General features: G+C 34.5%; 1 protein-coding gene across 10 annotated transcripts in view; it reads left to right on the top strand.

Annotated features, from left to right (window-relative positions):
• RPS6KA6 (ribosomal protein S6 kinase A6) overlaps positions 1-22,147 on the top strand; it is a 130,154-nt gene that overhangs the window by 17,692 nt on the left and 90,315 nt on the right. For 8 of the 10 annotated variants that reach the window (XM_047441997.1, XM_017029425.2, XM_047441996.1 and 5 more), the window contains 2 exons: positions 6,421-6,480; positions 14,617-14,733. In XM_047441997.1, the coding sequence (XP_047297953.1) occupies positions 6,436-6,480; positions 14,617-14,733 (162 nt within the window). In that variant the 5' untranslated portion in view covers positions 6,421-6,435. Of the gene's footprint in view, positions 1-6,420; positions 6,481-10,372; positions 10,521-14,616; positions 14,734-22,147 lie in introns of those variants that run through there. The other 2 variants (XM_011530919.3, XM_011530920.3) reach the window with 1 other exon arrangement.

Genomic DNA, 22,147 nt, shown 5'->3' with positions numbered 1-22,147 from the left:
AAGGGGATGGGGATTATAGAAGGGCATAAACAGCAAGAGGTGAGGATCATGGGGGCCTATCTTAGAGTGTCCAACACATTGCTTAATTGGTAGGTTTCTTTCTCTGTTTTATTTTGTCCTGGGCTTAATATATAGGCATAGATTTTTTTTGTTTTGTTTTTTGTTTTTTTTTGCCTTTGAGCCAGAGTCTCACTCTGTCGCCCAGGCTGGAATGCAGTGGCGTGATCTTGGCTCACTGCAACCTCCACCTCCTGGGTTCAAGTAGTTCTCCTGCCTCAGCCTCCCCAGTAGCTGGGATTACAAGTGCATGCTGCCACACCCAGCTAATTTTTGTATTTTTAGTAGAGATGGGGTTTCACTATGTTGGCCAGGCTGGTGTCGAACTCCTGACCTCAGGTGATCCACCCGCCTCAGCCTCCCAAAGTGTTGGGATTACAGACGTGAGCCACTATGCCTGGCCGGATCTTTATTTTAGGTAGATGTGGACCCACCTTTATCTTTAGCTCTAATTTACTTTTGTTATTTAAATAAAGTGAAAAAATTGAATAGAAGAAGTCTTCTTTACAAAAGCTATCAGTGACTAATATGTAAATGTAAAGCTTATTTGAGAGACATATTTTCTTTTTTTTTTTTTTTTTTTTTAGAAGGAGTCTTACTCTGCCATCCAAGCTGGAGTGTTGTGGCATAATCTCGGCTCACTGAAACCTCCACCTCCTGGGTTCAAGCAGTTGTGCCTCAGCCTCCCATGTAGCTGGGATTACAGGCGTGTGTCACTATGTACAGCTAATTTTTATATTTTTAGTAGAGACGGGTTTCACCATGTTGGCCAGACTGATCTCGAGCTCCTGATCTCAGGTGATGCACCTGCCTTAGTTTCCCAAAGTGCTGGGATTACAGGCATGAGCCACAGCACCTGGCCAATATTTTTTTTTACTAGGTTGATTTTGGGGATCCTGGAGAATACTTGAAAATATATAATATTGTCAAATTTATTGTGGAAACTGCTGTCCTGTGTATGTTTTGTTAATCATTTGCATCACCCATATTTATTCTCACTTTTTATCTAGTTCTTATTTGTGTATCTCTCTACTGTCTTCTTCGGAAATGTGTATCTCTCTACTTTCTTCTTCAGAGGTGCACACAAATAAGGAAAAAGTAGATTTTATTCTAGTTAGATGTGGGCCTACTTCTAAGTTTCAATATATCTTTCAGCACCAAGCTACAAGCTCTGTTAACTTCCTCCTTTTGTGTAACACTAAGGAACAGGTTTATGTATCATAGATAACAGTAAACTCTTTTACTAAACTATTTGTATTCATATGTTCACTATCCCATACCACCTCCAATTCCAAGGATCTGAAAGGGATTTTTTTTTTTTTAATTTCTCAGTTCAGTTTTCCTTGATGAGTTGCTTTGGTCAATAATAGTAAGAAAGCGATAAATTTGAAGTGACCTATGTGATTTTCTGGGATCAGATGAGTACAGCAACTCAGTTTAGGATTTCTGTTTGTCCCGCATATTTGTAAGTGCTTTAAGTCTTTTCTGATAAAATGTGAAAAGAATTTTTAAAGTAGTCTTCTCTAAGCCCTGGTACGAGAGTCTGTTCACTTGGATTTTGAAATATCTGAGTAAATTATTACTACCTTTATTGTTGATGATAAACATTCCAGAATCATATGTAGAATTTTTTTCCTCTCATTTGGCACTTAATTGGGGAAAGCAGCATGTCTGCTTATCTTTTCAAATTACAAATTTTATTTTTGAAATAAAGATTTATTATCCCAGAGAATTCAGAAATTATTTTTGTTTTTATGTGGATGAAAGTGATTTAAATTATAGTAAGTATCAATGAGTATACACTGTGGTTCTCCGTAGGATGAATATTCTTATATTGAAAACCTGATACCTTGAGGGTAGATGAGATGGGAGCAATGGAGTGTTCTGTTTCTAAAGGCCATTTCTGACTGAGATAATTTCCAGGATAGAGTGATCTTCTTGACTCATTCACATTCATTTTATTTCTAGTTCCTTCAGACCCACAGCTTCATGATAAATTAGTCATAAGATGATATGAATAGGAAGTAACCAGTAACTAAGGTAACAGAGGAAAGCAATATTTTTCTTTTTTTATGGATAATCCTCTTCCTATGCATAATCCTTTTTTCTATGGATAATTCTGAGAGTCATTTTATGGCAAAAATTTAATTATCACGATTCTGTCTTAATATTGATTTCTGGACTGTTTTCCGAATGCTCTTCTTTCTATATGCTTACAATGAATCTGTCACAGTTCTTTTTTTAATCCCACATAGTCTGTTTTGTTGAGCTAAGGTGGTAGATGGTGTTATCATTTAATGAAATGGGAAACCCTGAAGAAAGAGCAGATATGAAGCAGGGGTCAAGAATTCCTTTTTGTATTGGTTATTTTTGAGAGACATCTGAGATAAACATGTGGAAATGTCAAGTATGCAGTTGGATATATGGATCAGGAACTCAGAGTTAGTCACTGAGTAAACGTGAATCATGTTAGTAAATTAGCTGCGTGGGGAAAGAATGTGGAGTGGGATGAGAAGGTGATCCTAGTCCATTTCCTGAGGAATTACAGTGTTTCAAGGGTATTGAAAAAAAGCAGCAAAGGAAATTGGAGTAAAATAAAAGGAGTGTATGGTATTACAGAAGCTAAAGACTCAAATAGGAGAGTGGTCACCTGTGACATGCTGCAGAGAGATCAAATAAGATAATGACTGATGGATCCGTTAGCAAAGTAGACATCATTACTGACTTTATTGACCATTGCTGGTTTTCAATGGGATTTTTTTTTAGAATAGAGATGCTAGTTGAGTAAATAATGCTAATTTACTTTTTAATAAATTGGTTTCCAATTTTTCATATAGTAAAATTCACTCTTTTTCATGTAGGGTTCTGAGATTAAAAAATGTATAGAGTTGTGTAACCATCATCACAATCCAGATAAAGAGTTGTTCGATGACCCACCCTCCCCAGCACACACACACACATACACACACTCTTCCCATGTGATGCCTCTTTGTAGTCAGCCTCTTCCCTATCCCTAACTCCTTGCAACCACTAATTTCTTCTCCATTCCTTTTAGTTTTACCTTTTACAGAATAACATATAAATGGAATCCTACAGAATGTAGCCTTTTGAATCTTGCACCTTTTATTTACAATGTGTTTGGGATTCATCCATGTTGTTGAATGTATCAGTATATTATTCTTTTTTATTGCTGAGTGATACTCGTCTTCCTCTACCCCCAACCCGTTGAACCAATTATCTTTATTCTTTCCCTACAGTTTTGCTTTATTCAAAGTATCTTATACATGAAGTCATACAGTATTTAGCCTTTTGGATTTGGCTTCTTTCAGTTAGCAGAAACGCTTTTAAGATTCATCGATGTTGTTACAAGTATCAACAGTTCTCTTCTTTTTATTGATGAGTAAAAAGTAGTATTCTTTTTATCCACTCATCAGTTGAAGACCATCTTGATTGTTTCCAATTTATGACAATGATAAATAAAGCTGCTGTAAAAATGTATGTACAGATTTGTGTCTTAACATGTTTCCACTGATTTCGGGTTAATGTTCTCTGTTTTCTGGTCTCCATGATTTCTTACGAGAAATCTGCAGTCATTCAGTTTGATGTTCCTCTTTATGTAATGTGTGGTTTTTCTCTCACTCCTTTCAATATTTTCCCCATTTTTCCTTTGGTTTAAAGTAGTTTACTTAAGATGTGTCTTGGGGTGGATTTCTTTAATTTTATTCTGTTTGGGATTTACTGAACTTCTTGAAACTGTAATTTTTTTTTTCAAATTTGGGAAATGTTCAGCCATTATTTATCTTGAAAATACAGCTTTAGTGAGATAGAATTCACATAACATATAATTCACCCATTTAAAATATACAATTCAATACTTTTTATTATATTCACAAATATGTACAACTATCACAACAGTAAATTTTAAAAGTTCTTCATCACATCAAAAAGGAACATTGTACCCTTTAGTTATGACCTCCATCTCCACATACCTCACCCCAACCAACCATTAGTCTGCTTTCTGTCTCTATACATTTCCCTGTTTTCATTATTTCATATGAATGAAATTGCCTTTATTTCGTTAAGTGATTTTTTCAGTATTACTCTGTTATTTTATGGGATGTTAATGACATGGATTTTAGAATGTCTCATAGTGTTTCATATGTCTCTGAGGCTCTGTTTATTTTTCATCATTTTCACTCTTTTCTTCATATTGGATGACATCTATTGATCTGTCTTAAAGTTTATTTCCTCAGCCACCTGCATTCTTTTATTGAGTCTATCCAGTATTTTTAAAATTTTTCATATGATTTTTAGTTCTAGAATTACTTACATTTGTTTTTTTTCATAGTTTCTATTTCTCTGCTGAGAACCTTTTATCATTTCATTCAGGTGTGTTTATTTTTATCCAGAAAAGCATAGTTATAGTAGCTGCTTTAAGATTCTTGTCAGATAGTTCAACTTTGGAGCCATCTTGGAGTTGATACTTGTTGATAATTTGTTTGTTTCAGCAGGCAATCTACCTAGTTAGGTTGACTCCAAAGTTATGTCTTGTCCTCTCTGGATAATGGTTCCAATGTTAATTCAGTTTTCAGAGAGTTTGGGTCAGCACTCTGCATGTGCCACTCATTGGATGTGCTAATTCAGTGGTTAGTCTGAGACGAGCAATTATTGGTATTGTAGTTCAGTACTCAAAGACTTTGTTATGTTTCTTTAGTCCTTTCTGCACACATGCAGTTTTTTGTTGTGACCAGGACTTGTGTTGGTTCATACACAGAATTAGGGGATCTGCTCTCTTCATTCTATCCTCTCTGATTTCTTCCACATTCTTCAATTCCCATGGGCCCTTTATTCTGTTCTGCTGGCCACAAATATGAGTTTCTCTCAGAGTCTTAGCTTTTTATGCTGGAATATAACTTTACACTATTGGAGCTGCCTTTTGGATGAAGTAAAGAAGAGAGTGCAAAAAAAATAACAGGGATTACCTTCACATTTTTCTTATAAAAGGGACCTCTTTTCCTGCTTCCTCTGGCCAGAGAGAGAGATTTTCTCTTGATCAGGGCTTGCCTTGGAGTTGGACTCAGCATCAAAAAAGAGAAAGTGTGTACATGGGGAATCTTGGATTCTCCTTATGTTTACAGGCTCAAAAGTGCGTCTTTTCCTGGTCCTTTGTCTAGAAAATGGGATTTTTCTTGGAATTTTTGTTGATGTCTACTGTGTAATTTTGTGACTCATTCTCTCCTCTGCTCAAATTCAGGAGATAAAGGTAGAAAATAAACCTAGGGAATTCATCAGAGTTAATTTTCAAGTTTTGATCTTCCCTAATTAATTTGTTTTTGTTTCATTTTCAGAGTTCTTATGTAGTTTCTTTTTGTATTCTACATAAGGATTTTAGTTTATAATAGGGGGAGATAGGCTTATGAGCTTATTTCATTTTGACTGTCACAAGAAACTCTAATTTACTTTTTAATTTTTTTTTCTGTTGACTTACAAATGGGCAGTGGTAAAAATCCTTTTTATCTAGTTCGTCTTCCTGTTGCCTAATTTTCAAACATCTTAGTTCAGTGTTTGGCAGATTGTAAGGGTGCAGATAGGAAATATTTTAAGCTTTGCAGACATAGGGTCTCTGTCACAACTGGTCAACTCTGCTGTTGTAGTGCAAAAGCAGCCATAGATAAGATGGAAACAAATGGGTCTGGCTGTGTTCTAGTAAAATTTTTACAGAAACGGACAAGAGGTCAGATTTAGCTCATGGGTTATAGTTTGTAGAACCTTGATCTAAGTCTTCTACTTTACTGTTTCTTGAATTAGTTGTTAAAGAATGAGTAGTATTACCTACTGAGCTCTGCATGTTGACTTGTTTTGTTTCCATGATTACTTACATCTTTCTCCTATAGTTTATTTTTTCTTCTGTATAGTATGTCATGATGTTTAATTAACTGAATGAAAGAGGAATTCACAACAGTGCAATTATATAAAACTGTTCTTATTATAATTTGCTTTGAATATACCCCCATGGTAGATTTCTGTGGCATTTTTTTTCCTGTCATAAATACTTGGTTGGGGACAATTTAATGAAAGTACATAGGTTATATACTTAGTGTATAGTTATCTGTTATTGCAAAACTCTAAACAATATGAAATTAAGCATAAAGCTCTGAAAATCAAAGTTTCTCAAGGATAATCTGGGAACCATGTTAATAGTGTTCCTTTTCTAAGTACTTCTATGTGTCCTTTGTCCTTTTGTTTTTCAGTAAGTGTGGATCTTGTTAGATTGTGGAAGGAAATGCCTAGGGTTATATTTTTCTTAGTTATCACTCTTGTTTTAATACTTTTGAACCTCAATTTTTGAACAATGTTTTTCAGGTAAATGGTCTTAAAATGGTTGATGAGCCAATGGAAGAGGGAGAAGCAGATTCTTGTCATGTAAGTATTTATGTTAATTTATTAAGCCACATTTTTAGCATATAAGGAAAAAGAATACAGGGAAAGGAGAAAAGCTCCTATCAAACAAATATATTCAGGTAAGTTGGTAATAAGCAAATGGAATTATTAATAACTCAACTGCAGTTTAAAATATAGGACAGGTTTTCCTGACAGAAATACTTATGCATGCATTTTTAAAAATAAACAGCTTTATTGAGACATAATTTACATGCTATTGAATTCACCCATTTTAAGTGTAATGGATAAAATTTTCAGTTGCCAGTGTATGAGTAACTGAATTATTATACTTAAATATAGAATCCTTTGAGAAGATTATCTTCAACCTCAGGGTAGAAAGGATATCTGACTTGGAAATATTGAACTGTATAAGCATAACTTGAAATCATTTAAAATCAATTTCCTGGCTTTTAGAAAGGATTATGTGTAAATTATTTCAGAAGTTTCTAACTAGTTTTAAAGACTGCTTAGCCATTAGACCATTCTATGTAATGCCTAGATACTAGAGTCTTATTTTACAAGATCTAGTTTTACAGAGAGCATTCTTAAGATTTGTAGGGAGAATCTGACTAAATCAGCATCTACATTTATGTTGTTATTTTATGGTTGTTATTTCTATAGATATTTTCATAGAGTTATAGATTTTTTTTTTTTTTTTTTTTTTGAGACGGAGTCTCGCTCTGTCGCCCAGGCCGGACTGCGGACTGCAGTGGCGCAATCTCGGCTCACTGCAAGCTCCGCCTCCCGGGTTCACGCCATTCTCCTGCCTCAGCCTCCCGAGTAGCTGGGACTACAGGCGCCCGCCACCGCGCCCGGCTAATTTTTTGTATTTTTAGTAGAGACGGGGTTTCACCTTGTTAGCCAGGATGGTCTCGATCTCCTGACCTCATGATCCACCCGCCTCGGCCTCCCAAAGTGCTGGGATTACAGGCGTGAGCCACCGCGCCCGGCCGAGTTATAGATTTTTTAAGCTGGAAAGAACCTCAGAGATATTATGTAATACTTCATTGTATGGATTAGTCTACTGAAACTTGGAGAGTCTGTGATTTATACTAGGTGATAAAAGTAGCTAGTAGCAGAATCAAGACTTAGGGCAGTATGCTTCCTTTTAGGTCAGATATATTATGTAGACCTGAAGAAGTAGAAGATGAGGAGAACATTATCCTTTTTCTATTTGGTTGTGGATGAAATCAACTTTGATGACCCCTCCACCAAAACTTGTTCATAATTGGAATTAGCTCAGATAGAAACCAGCAGAGGGATTTAAATTGGGTTTGTCCAAAACTCTCCTTTGAAATGTTCTATGTAACTATTTCTGCAGTTAGTAACCATGTAACAACACTTTTAATTTTGATTGACAATATGAGAGATACAATGTTGTCTTTGTAGCTTTTGCAGTTTACTGAATATTAATAATATATTGTAATTTTGAGTATAATTAAATGTAAACTATCAAAACCATTATCTAGAGATTTGTCTACAGTTCATATGGACTAATAGGCATAGTAATATTAATGTTGCCAGTTTATAAAAGATAAAGGAGTATAAGGAACTATTAAAGGCAGTGGAGAAGGAGAAGGCTGCTTATTATATTTTAGCATTAATAAATTCACAAGGATATCATGGCTTACACCACAGGGGAACAGTGTGTGTGGTGCATAAACTCAAGGACACATACACAGGGTGATTGGCAAATATTTACCTTTATAATTTTAGTAGAAGATAAGTCAGGAAGTTCAGTTTTTAGTGGAAAGGCAGTAAAAATATACAGTGCTAGTTACTTACATGATCTACCTTATGCAATCAACTTCAGTGGCTAAAAGGTAGAGTGTGAAATTTTGGAGAGTAAAGGACCTAGAATCACTTCCAAGGATTTGATTTAGTTTGTGGCCTGAGTTATCTGGACTTGAAACCATGTACTTTGGGTGTGTGATGGTTAAAGTACTCAATTTGTGTCAATAAAACTACATGAGTGATTAAAAACACCATATGTATTTATCCCTTAAATTTTTTAAATATACAGCTACGATTTTTTTCTTTGTGATTGTCATGTGTTTTTTTGTGGTTGGCTTTTTTTTTTACTGTTTTAAAATAGTGTAGGATTGTAGAGACTGCTCTGTGATGGTAAGTATTAGGTAACAGGTTGCTGATAAACTATATCTAATATCACATTTCACCACCTAGTATCCTACTTCTTTCAGCAATGTCAAGGTTAGAAAAAGTTTGTTATGATTTGTCTCCTTTAGTAGTTGGCTGACATGAGTTAACTTTTTATTTGTTGTCAAAATAAGCATAACTGCCTTATATTTGGTAGTTTATGATCCATTGGTATTTATTTTTAAAACTCTACCCAGTATCTGTTTTTTCTGAAATAAAATACATATTTTTAATGCTATCAATATCTTAAAAATTTCAAAGAATATTCAGTTAGCAATTAGATTCTTTGTTGATTACATTAGTGCAAGGTCAGCAACATGTTTAGTCTCTAAAGTGATTTATATTTTTATTATGCAGAGATGTAAATGTCATAGTGAACTGAAAATGTATATTTTGAAAAACAATGCTGGATATCCTGATTTTTTTAAGCCCTGAATTTCTTATTTTAAAAACCATTCTTGACATGTGTCTGTTAAGAATTCTTTCAAAAATACTTTTTTACAAGTGTGTTTTACTTAGACTCAGTGGAACCACAGGTAGGAGCTATTTCAAGCTGAGAATGCCTGCTTTCTGTATGGTGGATTTTTTTTTCCTCTATTTGTCTTTCTATTCTGATGCACATTTAGCCTTAGTATGCTTCAGTATTTTTTCTCTTGCAATGCTGATGTTTACTTCTAATTTCTATTCAGTTACTTAAAAAACTGGAAACCTTGTCCTACAGATATGCAAAACTCTCAGATGAATAATTATTGTTCAACTAAAAAATGTTGGTCAGCCACTATAAAGTCGAGTTATGCTGCACCATCAGGTATGCAAAGATAAGTACTACAGAGAGTATCTGACTCAGGATGGTTCAACTTATGAGTTTCAACTTTATAGTGGTGCAAAAGTGATATTCAGTATGTTCCTCAACTTACAATAGGATTAAGTTTGGATAAACTCACTGTAAGTTGAAAGTGAATTTTCAACTTACAATAGGTTTATGGGGACAACACTGTCATAAGTCCAGGAACATCTGTACAAATAAGTTCAGTAACTTCAATTTTTATGGATGTTTTGTGGTTTTCAAAGTTCTCAGTTGATCCTTATAACTGAGATCTGAAATAGAGTAAGTATTACTGCCAATTTGTAGATGAGGGAACTAAGGAGCTGACCCTCGTAAGTAGAATAAACCAAACCAAGTGGGAACTAGTTTGCCGGCATTCTTTGGTTTTCAGTCATAATGCAGACTTTTACAAAACTAAGTGTTCTGCAGATACCTTCCATTGTGTACATAATTTTGATGTGCTTAGTTCACCCTCATGGCATTTTGGCATTTATATTGGTATTACGCTTAGCTTTCTTTCAAAGTACACTAATATTTGACATGGTTTTCAATGACCCCATATTATTCACTGAATGAGAAGGGTATATCGAGCTGCTCTTCTGGGTCTTTGCATATATGTTTCAGCAAATCCACAACTAAATGATTCTTGGATTTTTAGGGTGATCTTTTCACCAAGCTGGCCTGTGTACCTACAAATAAAGCTGATGTTTGAATAGATGAATGTTTTATTATTAAATAAAAATGAACAAGTTCAGGCTTTAAAAATACTTCTTTTGTTTTGATTTGTTTTCTGGAGGTTAGTTCCACAGTCATATGAAAACTGCTGTAATTGAGTTATAATAGTATATTGCTATTAGGTTGTCATCAGCTTTTTCTCTTTTCAATTAACAGGTGATTCCATCTTCCTAAACAAATCAGTTATCAAATGAATGGAGCAATAGTAGATTTGACAGTTCATTTTGTACTTTAACAGTGTGTTTTCCCAGTGTTACAGCACTGTTGGCCCTCTGGATTAAAAAGATGATCACAGATTATAGAGGTCAGAACATACTATTTTGGTTGTGGTTGAGCCTTCATACTTTTTCTGTATATCACTGATTACTTTATGGTCGCAAAAAAATAATAAAACCTAATTAATAGTCATCCTGGCCTCAGATTCAGATTTTTTATTTGATGTAGAAAGACTAGGGGTCCTTATTTAGAGGTTATTAAATCTTCATTTCACAGTAGCAACATTATTTTCAAAGATCAGCTAAGATTATGTACCATGTGTAGTTTGCTAGGGCTACCCTAACCAAATAACCACAGATGGGTGGCTTAAACAGCAGAAATTTATTTTCCCAAGATGCTGCATTCTATAAGATTGAGATCAAGGTGTTGGCAGGGTTGGTTTTTCTGAATCCTCTTTCCTTAGCTTATAGATGAGTCTTCTCCTTGTGCCTTTACGTGGTCATTCCTCTGTAGGTGTAGGTATTCTAATTTCCTCCTCAAATAAGGATGTCAGTCATATTGAATTAGAACCCACCCATATGGCCTCATTTTACCTTAATTACTTCTTTAAGGGCCCTATCCCTAAATACAGTCATGTTCTGAGGTACTGGGAGTTAGGACTTTAACATATTAACTGTTAGGGGACATAATTTAGCCCATAGCATACTTGTAGCTTTTTGTTTCTTTGACGGATGTGATGTTTCTGACAAAGTTCTCTATCCTCAAATTCACAGTTTATTTCTGTATCCCCAGTGTGCAGCACAGTGTCTGATAATAGGATATGTGCTTAATGAATGTTGATTTGCTGGGTGAATAATAAGAGTGCATATATGGGAAGATAAGGTGATATAGCACAACTTTATCATACCAGGATAGGGAATTTTTTTAAGGATGATTTACTCTCAGGAAAAAAGAAATATATCACTTATAAGTACATTACCACCTATTTCAGGCTAGATTGCTGCTACTATCAAGCTTTTGAAATGGTGCAGAACCTGAAGACAGGGAGGTGGAGGGAAGAAAGAGGGTTTCAGTTGACAAAAAGGGACATTATAATAGTAAAAATCAATAAACATAGCCTTGGGATGGCTGAGAAATTTTAGGCAATAGACAAGAATGGGGCAGGGAGCAGATAGAATAAGACAGAATAAGTATTGGAAATGGTGACACAGGAGGGTATCACATACTTTGAGAGTAAAAAAGAGCTAGTGGCGTAGAAATGATAAAAGTGTTAAGTAGCTATATATAAACACATACACACATGTGTATATGTGTGTGCACGCATGTATGCACATATGTGTATGTATTTGTGTGTATATCTATTATGTATCTGTATAACTATAAATCTTAGAAGCACCCAAATATTGTTTTTCAATCCTGGCCATGTGTCCGAATCAACTGGGGAGGCTTAAAAAATACACATGCTTACGTTTTCCTGTAGTTCTACTGAACCACAATCTCTGAGGGTGGGACCCAAACAAGTGCAGTAAATAAATATTTCTTCTACAGGTGATTCTTATGGGCAACCAGGGCATTACAAATTGTCTGTGTAAAGGCACAGTAGTCATAATTTGGTGATATAATATGTGGTAGTTGTTGGCCTAGGAACATATGTCTTTATTTAAAAAGGCAAATGGCTAAGCATTAGGTTAATATTCAGGGGTTATTGTGTCCTTTATTTGTGTTGAGTACAACACATACTCAGCACAGTGTAATAAAAATACTGACAATGGATAATATGGAAGAAGTTTATATTCTTCACAGTGTATGGGAAGATATGCTTATTTTATTTAGAAATATTGTTATCACAAAGTTGGTTATATTCAAAGCTGACACAATTTCATTAGCCAGAATGAATCTCCTGTTTCCTTATTTCCTTTATATATTTAAAAAAAGAAATCGTGGGTATATATATTTTTTGTTTTGTAGACTATATTTAAGAATAATTTTGAGATTTCTTATTGTTTAATTTTACCTTTAAAATCTTTATTTTCTATTGTATATATTTAAGGTGTACAATGGGATGTTTTCATATACATTGTAAAATTATTATGATTGTTAAGCAAATTAACATCCATCATCTCACAGTTGCCCTATTTTTTGGTGGTAAGCACTGTCTTCATTTTAAAAAGTATATATTTTTTCCTGTTTCTTTTATAATATTGAGCAGATTTCTTTGTCTTTCTGCTCTCATGAGATCAAAAAAGTATTGTGCTAAGCATTAGGAATAAAGAGATCAATGTGGTGTAATACCTGCATTTAAGAAGCCCACAGTCCAGTGGGAAAGAAAGACATGGTAATTAGTTGTTCGGACACAGTGTAACATTTTACATTGGCTGTCTCCTGGGAAAAGTGATTTTTCTCATCTAGTTGCATTTTCATATTGGGAGCTTTTTAGAGTACTGCTGCTGAAAATTGAAAGACATTGCATTTTAGAGGATGGGCATGTGAGCATTATTAATAAAAGTTAAAAGGGCATTGGACAAACATTTTCATTTGGAAAACCTGCTTAGGTTTGGTGAAACTAACTATAGTACAATTTGTTTCCTAACTCTGAACACTTCTAAAAAAACTGATGCCAATACTTATAGTGATAATCTAAACATAAGCAGGGACCTGAAGTACCTTCTTGAACATAAAAATATTATATTGTGTTCAGTATAGAATCACAGACATTGAGGGGACCTTAGAGACCCATCTAACAAAACCCCTTTGTCATGTGAGAAAACTGAAGGAGAGAGTGATTTGTGATTTAGCCAAGGTTTCTTAGCTTATAGGTGCATACAGATATATTATACTTTAATATAGTCCCCAAATGTCAGCTACAAAGCATCTATATTTGCATTAAAAAAGGTTGTTTACTTTTTTAAAAAAGGACCTCTTTCAAATAGGGAAATTCACTTCCATAGCCGATTGATTTTAATTTAATTTTTATTTTCAGTAAACATTTATAAATTACCATCACTATTTAAAAGGGTCTGGTGAAATACTATTTTGATGTATAAGAAACATCTGATATACTTTCAAAATCAGTTATTCTTCATTTCTTGTTGATTTGCTGGTAGTTCCTAACACCTACAATTAAAATTTCTTTGCCTAGGTACCCCCCTTGAGATAGTGAATGCCTGACTACCTATATTCCATGGAAGTTATTTTAGCTGCTATGAAGTCTAGCTCATTTGGGACCATACTCTTGTTCACTTTGGCTTCAATCACCATTGACTAATCAGTTAATTGAAGAGTGAATAGATTGAGAACATTCTTGGCATCCAGGCTAAAATTAGTATGCTATAATGGAATGCTACCAAGATTTATAGACATTGTGATTAAGTAGTCATGTAAAGTTAAATTCTGTGGGTCTTAGTTTTCTTCTTTATACAGTCAGAGAGTTGGATAAGATATCCCTTCCAACTCTGTTATTTTGTGATATACGTCTGTCATCCTAGCTATTGTGCTTCTGTAGGGACTAGTATTAATTACAGCTCACTTGAATGTAGTCATCACAGCTGAGTGGAGTCCTGCATCAAGGGGAAGAACCACTCACTGGGTGGCTTTCTTTCTGCTTCACCCAGGTGGTACGAAATCTGGCATATAATTTATGTATAAAATTTCAGTAAACGGGCCATAGCCTGGAAACATTTGTTGGGGCTCTGCAGATTTTGTTGGTCTTTGCCAGTTTCTTTTTCATTGATGTGGTTAGTTGGCCATTTAAACATTTAAAATAGTATAGTGAAATACTATTTAAAAAAGCTCTTGAGGTCACGTTTTTTGGTCATGCCCCACAATTTACAAGGTTTTATTTTGACTTTTTCTGCCTCTACCTCATTAGTCACAGTCCATTGAAGGGTCTTGAGACTGTTGTTAACAATTTTATTATATTGCTACCAAGCTGGAAGGGAAGGCTGAAGCATAGATTTCTTTTTACATTTTATTTACATGAAATTATGTAGTAGGGAAGGTGGTGGTGGTGCATCTGTGTGTGCTGTATGTGTTAGAAAACAGGGAAATAAGGATACTGGTAGCCCATAAAACTCTCTGCTACATTGAGGGAGTTGGGTATTTCTATTATGACTTCTGATTTTAAATGGAACTAATCAGAAGATGTTGAAAATGGATTCAAGTATTGTTTGGATTTCTTTTTACAGGATGAAGGAGTTGTTAAAGAAATCCCTATTACTCATCATGTTAAGGAAGGCTATGAGAAAGCAGATCCTGCACAGTTTGAGTTGCTCAAGGTTCTTGGTCAGGGGTCATTTGGAAAGGTAATGAATAATTTTTTTCCCCATTTGTTCCTCTTCTAAACATTTAGCAAAAAAAGTGAACACATACGTAGAAATCTGATTAATGAGTCGTTTCTAAACTTCTGAACGGATGCTCACAAAGGTAATTCTTTAATTTTATTCCTTTCATTTCTGTTGTACTTTTATTACCATTTCTTTGTACTTCTCTGTAACAATCAAGGTTTTCCAATTCCCTAGGCTTACTGATTTCTTGAGGGAAAAATATAGCATACTCTTTATTAGCTGCCTAAATCAAAGTAGCTTGATTTTTGTAAAAAATGGTATTCCTATCTCCTTGTTCCCATGCTGGCATGAATACAGCTTGTTTTCTCCTGGTGATTTAATCTACATTTGTTAGCTATGACACAGAAATCAGAATTTATGTCTTAATTCATGTATGAATTCGTCTGTCATCTGTTAAAGTAGAACAAGGGTGTGTAAAGTAGAACAAGGGTAGTTACTGGGTGATATGTGGTTTATTTAAGTCTTCAGAGAGCTTACATTTCAAGGCAGAAAGCAAAATTGAGTAAGAATAACTATTATAGTCGTTACTAAAGTTGTTTATTAAGCACTTAATAACATGGTTTTAGAAAAGAAGTGTATAGGTCTGGTTCCTGACCTTTATATACCTAACATCTAATACATGAAAATTATTGCATACACATAGTAACAGCCTTTAGAAAAACAGCAATTTAGAAAAACCGCAATTTAAGGGGAGAAAGATAAAGAGAAACTACTAATTTCAAGTGGCTGAGATTTAGTTTTAAAGGGGAAAAATAAGGCAATTGAGCATAGGTTATTTATAGTGCTCTGGAACATTTTAAAATAAAGACATTTTTATTTTATTGGGTTTTAGAAATGGGGTCTTGCTCTGTCACCCAGGCTGTAGTGCAGTGGCATGATTGTAGTTCACTGTAGCCTTGATCTCCTGGGCTCAAGTGATCCTTCATCCCCAGCTTCTCAAGGAGCTGATACTACAGGTGTGCACCACCACACCCAGCTAATTAAAAAAAAAAATTTCTGGACACAAGGTTTTGCTGTGTTGCTCAGGCTGGTCTCGAACTCCTAGCCTTAAGTGATCTTCCCACGTTAGCCTCCCAAGGAAAGACATTTATTGAACGCTCAGTGTGTTCACAACAATGTATAAGCAGTATTAGTGACTATAAAATAGATGTCATCTTAAAGTAACCTGATATTTATGCATTATAGAATATAACGTGAAATATAAAGAAACATTTTCAGGACACAAAAAAGACAAACTGAGATGAATTATGGCTTGGCAGTGAATTGGTACAGGAGATATATAAGACAGGGAGATAGGACTTGAACAGTGTTCTGAGGAGAGAAAAACTAGAAGGAACTGTTAATAGATTGGTGGTGGTGGTGGTGGTGGTGGTGATGAAGTTGGTGGGGAATGTTTATAGAACTGATCTGTAGAGTAGGCATGTATATTATATACAACTTTATTTTAAAGTTTCTAAAAGTGTAATATTCTTTTAGCTATTTTGCACTTTATAGCTATTTTTATGGTGTTAATTTTAGAAGAACAGAGATGAAGTTATTTTATATTCCAGATGTATAAATGCTTAAATATTTGACTTAAATAAAATCTCACCAGGCAAACATTTCAAGCTATTAAAATTACCTGCTTTGTCTTTTGATGTATGTATTTACTCATATATGCTTTTGTTTATCTTCAGCTTTGTTCCAGAAAGGATTTAAGGCTTTCATAGATGAATATTAAATAAAATTAAAAATAAGTAGTGAAGATGATGGAAACAGAAAGCTCAGAGCAGGAAAGATTAGATGAAGCCAGGAGTACACTCTGTTCACAAAAGCATGACATAAGGGTCTGTAAGTCCTTTTCTAGTAGGTCAAAAATTAGACTTAAGTTTTCTAGCAGCCATTATAAAGAAGCTAATATATTTGAGTGTATTATAATTGACAGTATTTTAAAGGTGGAAACGGATTAAACAGACCAGAGAAATTTCTCTCATGGGTTTTCTTAAAGAAAATACTGTATAACATAATGAAATATATTCAATAACATCATGTTAAATATAGCAACATGATGAAAAGTTGTCAATGTAGTGCTTAAATTCAGGGAAATCTTAGCTTTGTCTGTGCTGGGATTTAGTTTTAAGAAGAATATCATTGAAACCTTTTAATTCCTAATATTAAAGTACAAAATAGTGATCTTTATGTAGTTCATCAACCAAAGAAATATTAAGGAGGTGGCTTTTTTTTCCCCCTAGGATATGAACATACTTGCTTGTCAGTGTTACATCATTTGCGGAGGCATTGTGTAGGTGTGACTTGTTATATGCTGAACCTATTCAGGAATTTGGCCAAGGCTGTGAATCAGATAAGTGTAGGAGCAATTCCAAGAGACTTTGAGCTGCAGAGTCTTAAGTTTTTCTTCAAAAGTTCCATTGTTAAAATGCAGTAAATGGGATTTTAGCCCATATAAAGCCTTATAACATTAAATGTTTTTATTGTCTATTTAACAGTGGGGGAACCCTGCTAAAGTCAACTTAAAATTGTAGTTTAAGGAAGCATGCATTATTATCATGAAAGGTGCATATACAATTCTGTCCTAAGCACACCAAGTATAATGCTATTAATGATCATTAATGTATGGGTTGAAAGGTATACTAAACAACTTACATTAATTATTTTAAAACACAAACACATGAAAATACCTTTGAAATTGTCTGATTAGTCGTCCTTATATATCATGTGCCAAATAATATTTATATAAAACATACATTTTAATATTTGTGGATTATAAAAAAATACTTTTGCTTTTGTGATAGTAAAGACTTTAAGTACAGGACTTAAAAATGAATTTTTGAAAATATCGAATACTTGTACTCTTAAATAAGTGATCAACTCTCAAGTGATAGTTTTTAAAAACATATGCTTACATCTTAAAATTTCCTGAAGTTGGTTCTTTCTCTTCAAACAGCATTTAAATATGTGTGATCTTCTAGTTCACTGCAGTTACTGAATATTCTTATAGGAAAATATAAACGTCCATGTGATTGAGAGAAAATTATATTGGAGTAACTCACCCATTCTTTTGGACAATTTCCCATGATTGGATTAGGGTGACTGAAAAGAAGCCTCTTATCAATATAGATACGTTTTTAGGTCCACTAGTTTGAAGCCATGCAACAACTTTTTTACTTTAATTATTTCTTTAAGCACCCTATCCTCAAATACAGTCATGTTCCAAGGTACTGGGAGTTAGGACTTTAACATATTAACTTTGAGGGGACATAATTTAGTCCATGGCGTACTTGTATCTATTTCTTTAAAGGGCATGATGTTTCTGACAAATTTCTCTGTCCTCAAGTTCACAGTTTATTTCTGTATCCCCCAGTGTCCAGCACAGTGTCTGATACAGAATATGTGCTTAATGACTGTTAATTTGTTGATTGAATAACTAATGAGTACATATATGGGAAGATAAGGTGATATAGCACAACTTTATTATACCAGGATAGGGAAATTTTTCAAGGATGATTTAGGAAAAAAGAAATAGATCACAGATAAGTACATTGTCACCTTATTTCAAGTTAGGTTGTTACTACTGTCAAGCTTTTGGAATGGTGCAGAACCTGAAGAAAGTGAGGTGGAAGGAGGAGGGAGAGTTTCAGATGACAAAGAAGGACATTATAATAGTAAAAATCAATAAACATAGCCTTGGGAAGGTTGAGAAATGTTAGGCAATAGACAAGAATGGGATGGAAAAAGAACTACTTTTGTAGTTGATTTTGGGAAGGGGGCAGTGAGATACGATATTTTCTCATGCTAGGAAAGTCACTCATAAGACCTGAAAAAAAAGAAAAAACAGATCAGGTGTTAAACAGGTTACTTCTCTAGACTGCGAATGATGGATCCTATTAAATGCCATATTGGGATACTACTGAATATTAGAAGAACTAGGGGAAAAAAGTGGCTCCTTTATGCAACAGTGTCTTCAGAAAGCCTAGACTCTTTCTTTCTTCCTTGCTTGCCTCTTCTCACTCTTCATATTCCGTTCTTTACAATCCCACTAAGGGCTATGTTTTGTAAGAGTGGTTCTGAAATTGTGGTCTCCGTACCCCTGGACAATCCCAAGACTTTTCAGGGAGTCCTCAAGTCAAAACTACTTCACAGTCATCCTAAGATATTGTTTGTACAACTGCTGGCATGTTGGCCAATCAAGGCAGTGACTTCAAATGGTACCAGTAGTCATTGTAGTCTTCATTTTATTACATATGCAGTTTAAGAATGTCCTTGATGAGACATTAACAATTATTACATTTATTAAATCTCAATCCTTGAATACCCTTCTTTTGAATAATATGCGATGAAATAGGAAGTACATGTGAAGCCCCTTAGCCACGTAACAAAATAGAATGGTTGTCTCAAGGCAGAGGACTTGTGCAAATTTTTTGAGTTGTGAGCTGAACCAACCACTGTTTTTATGGATCACCACTTTTCCTTGAAAGGACAATAAACTATGGTTACCTAAATATGCTTATTTCGTAGGTGTTTTCTCAAAAATGAATGGAGTGAGCCTGTTCATAGAAAAACAACTGATACTCTTTTTGTCAATGGTAGAATCTGAGCTTTCCAGCAAATAATTGAATTTAGGCAAATGTATATTTGCCACATTGACGTCATTTTCTTGATGCAGCTATACTTATTTTTATTATGCTTCCCTTCATTGCACTTCACAGATATCCTTCACTTCATTGCGCTTCACAGATATGTATGTGTGTATATATATGTATATGTGTGTGTGTATATATATATATCTATATATATCCTATATATCTATATCTATATATATCCTATATATCTATATCTCTATATATCCTATATAGCTATATATATATCTATATATCCTATATATATCTATATATCCTATATATCTATATATATCCTATATATATCTATATATATCTATCCTCTATATATCTATCCTCTATATATCTATCCTCTATATATCTATCCTCTATATATATATCCTCTCTATATATCCTCTCTCTATATATCCTCTCTATATATATCCTCTATATATATATCCTATATATATCCTCTATATATATATCCTATATATATCCTCTATATATATATCCTATATATATCCTCTCTATATATCCTATATATATCCTCTATATATATATATCCTATATATATCCTCTATATATATATATCCTATATATATCCTCTCTATATATATATCCTATATATATCCTCTCTATATATTCTCTATATAGTCCGTGTCTCATATTTTGGTAATTCTTGCAGTGTTTCAAATGTTTTCCTTACTGTTATATCTGTTATGGTTCTTTGTGGTCTGTGATCTTTGATGTTAGTGTTGTCATTGTTTCGGGGTGCCATGAACCACGCACACATAAGACAGTGAGCTTCATTGATAACTGGTGTGTGTGTTCTGGCTATTTTACTGACCAGCTGTTTCCCCATCTCTCTCTGTCTCCTTGGGCCCCTCTATTCCCTGACCTGCAAGAATATTGAAATTGGTCTAAGTAATAACTCTATAGTGGCCTTGGAGTGTTCAAGGGAAAGGAAGTGTTCTGCATTTGTCACTTTAAATCAAAAGCTACAAATTATTAAGCTTGGTGAGGAAGGCATGTCAAAATCTGAGGTAGGCTAAAAGCTAAGGTTCTTGTGCCAAACAGCCAAGTTGTGAATGCAAAGGAATGTTCTTGAAAGAAATTAAAATTGCTACTCCAGTGAACATATAAATAAGAAGAAAGTGAAACAGCCTTATTACTGATATGGAGAAAGTTTTAGTGGTCTAAATAGAAGATCAAAGCAGCCACAACACTCCCTCTAGCCAAAGCCTAATCTAGAGCAATTCCCTAGCTCTCTTTAATTCTGTGAAGGCTGAGAGAGGTGAGGAAGCTGCACAAGAAAAGTTTGAAGCCAGCAGGGGTTGGCTCATGAAGAGAAAAAGGAAAGAAGCCATTTTCGTAACATAAAAGTGTAAGGTAATGCTACAGATGCTGATGTAAAAGCTGTAGCAGGTTAGTCAGAAGATCTAGCTAAAGTAACTCTTGAAGGTGGTTACACTAAGCAACAGGTTTTAATTGTAGAAGAAACAGCCTTCTGTTGGAAGAAGATGCCATCTAGCCTTTCATAGCTAGAGCGAAGTCAGCGCCTAGCTTCATAGCTTGGAAGGACAGGCTGACTCTCTTGATAGAAGCTAGTGATCCTGGAACTTTTAAGTTGAAGCCAATGCTCATTTGCCATTCCAAAAATTCTAGGGCCTTTAAAAATTATGTTAAATCTACTATGCCTATGCTCTATAAATAGAACAAAGCCTGAATGACAGCACATCTGTTTATAGCATGGTGTGCTAAGTATTTTAAGCCCACTGTTGAGACCTACTGTTCAGGGAAAAAAAAAGACATTTCTCAAAATATTACTGCTCATTGGCAATACTCCTAGTTACCCAAGAGCCCTGATAGAGATGTACAAGGAGATTAATGTTGTTTTCATGCTTGCTATTACAGTATCCATTCTGCAGCCCATGAAACAAAGAATAATTTTGACTTTCAAGCCCTATTATTTAAGAAATACATTTTGTAAGGCTATAGTTGCTGTAGATGGTGATTGCTCTGATGAATCTGGGCAAAGCAAATTGAAAACCTCTGGAAAGGACTTGCTATTCTAGATGTCATTAAGAACATTTGTGATTCATGGGAGGAAGTCAAAATATCAACATTAACAGGAGTTTGGAAGAAGTTGATTCCAACCCTTATGGATGACTTGGAGGGGCTCAAGACATCATTGGAGGAAATCACTGAAAATGTGGTGGAAATAGCAAGACAATTAGAAGTGGAACTAAAGATGTGACGGAAGTGCTGCAGTCTCATGATAAAACTTGAATGGATGAGGAGTTGCTCCTTGTGGATGAGCAAAGAAAATAGTTTTTTTGAGGTGAAATCTACTTCTGGTGAAGATGCTATGAACATTGTTGAAATGACAGTAAAGGCTTTAGAATATTACGTAGACTTCTTTAATAAAGCGGTAGGATTTGAGAGGACTGAGTTCACTTTTGAAAGAGATTCTACTGTGTATAAAATGCTATCAAACACCATCAAATTCTATAGAAAATTATTTCATGAAAGGAAGTCAATCTGTGCAACAAACTTCATCATTGTCTTATTTTAGGAAATTGCCACAGCCACCCTAACCTTCAGCAGCCACCACCCTGATCACTCAGCAGCCATCAACATTGAGGCAAGACCCTCCACCAGCAATAAGATTATATCTCACTGAAGACTCAGATGATCATTAGCATTTTTTAGCAATAAAGCATATTTAATTAAGGTATATAGGGTCATAATATTTGTTTGCTCTTTATTAAGGTAAC

Source organism: Homo sapiens, chromosome X, assembly GCF_000001405.40.
Source record: "Homo sapiens chromosome X, GRCh38.p14 Primary Assembly".
NCBI classification, from domain to species: domain Eukaryota; kingdom Metazoa; phylum Chordata; class Mammalia; order Primates; family Hominidae; genus Homo; species Homo sapiens.
The sequence above is the reverse complement of the archived record's forward strand: the minus strand, read 5'-3'. Positions and strand labels throughout refer to the sequence as shown.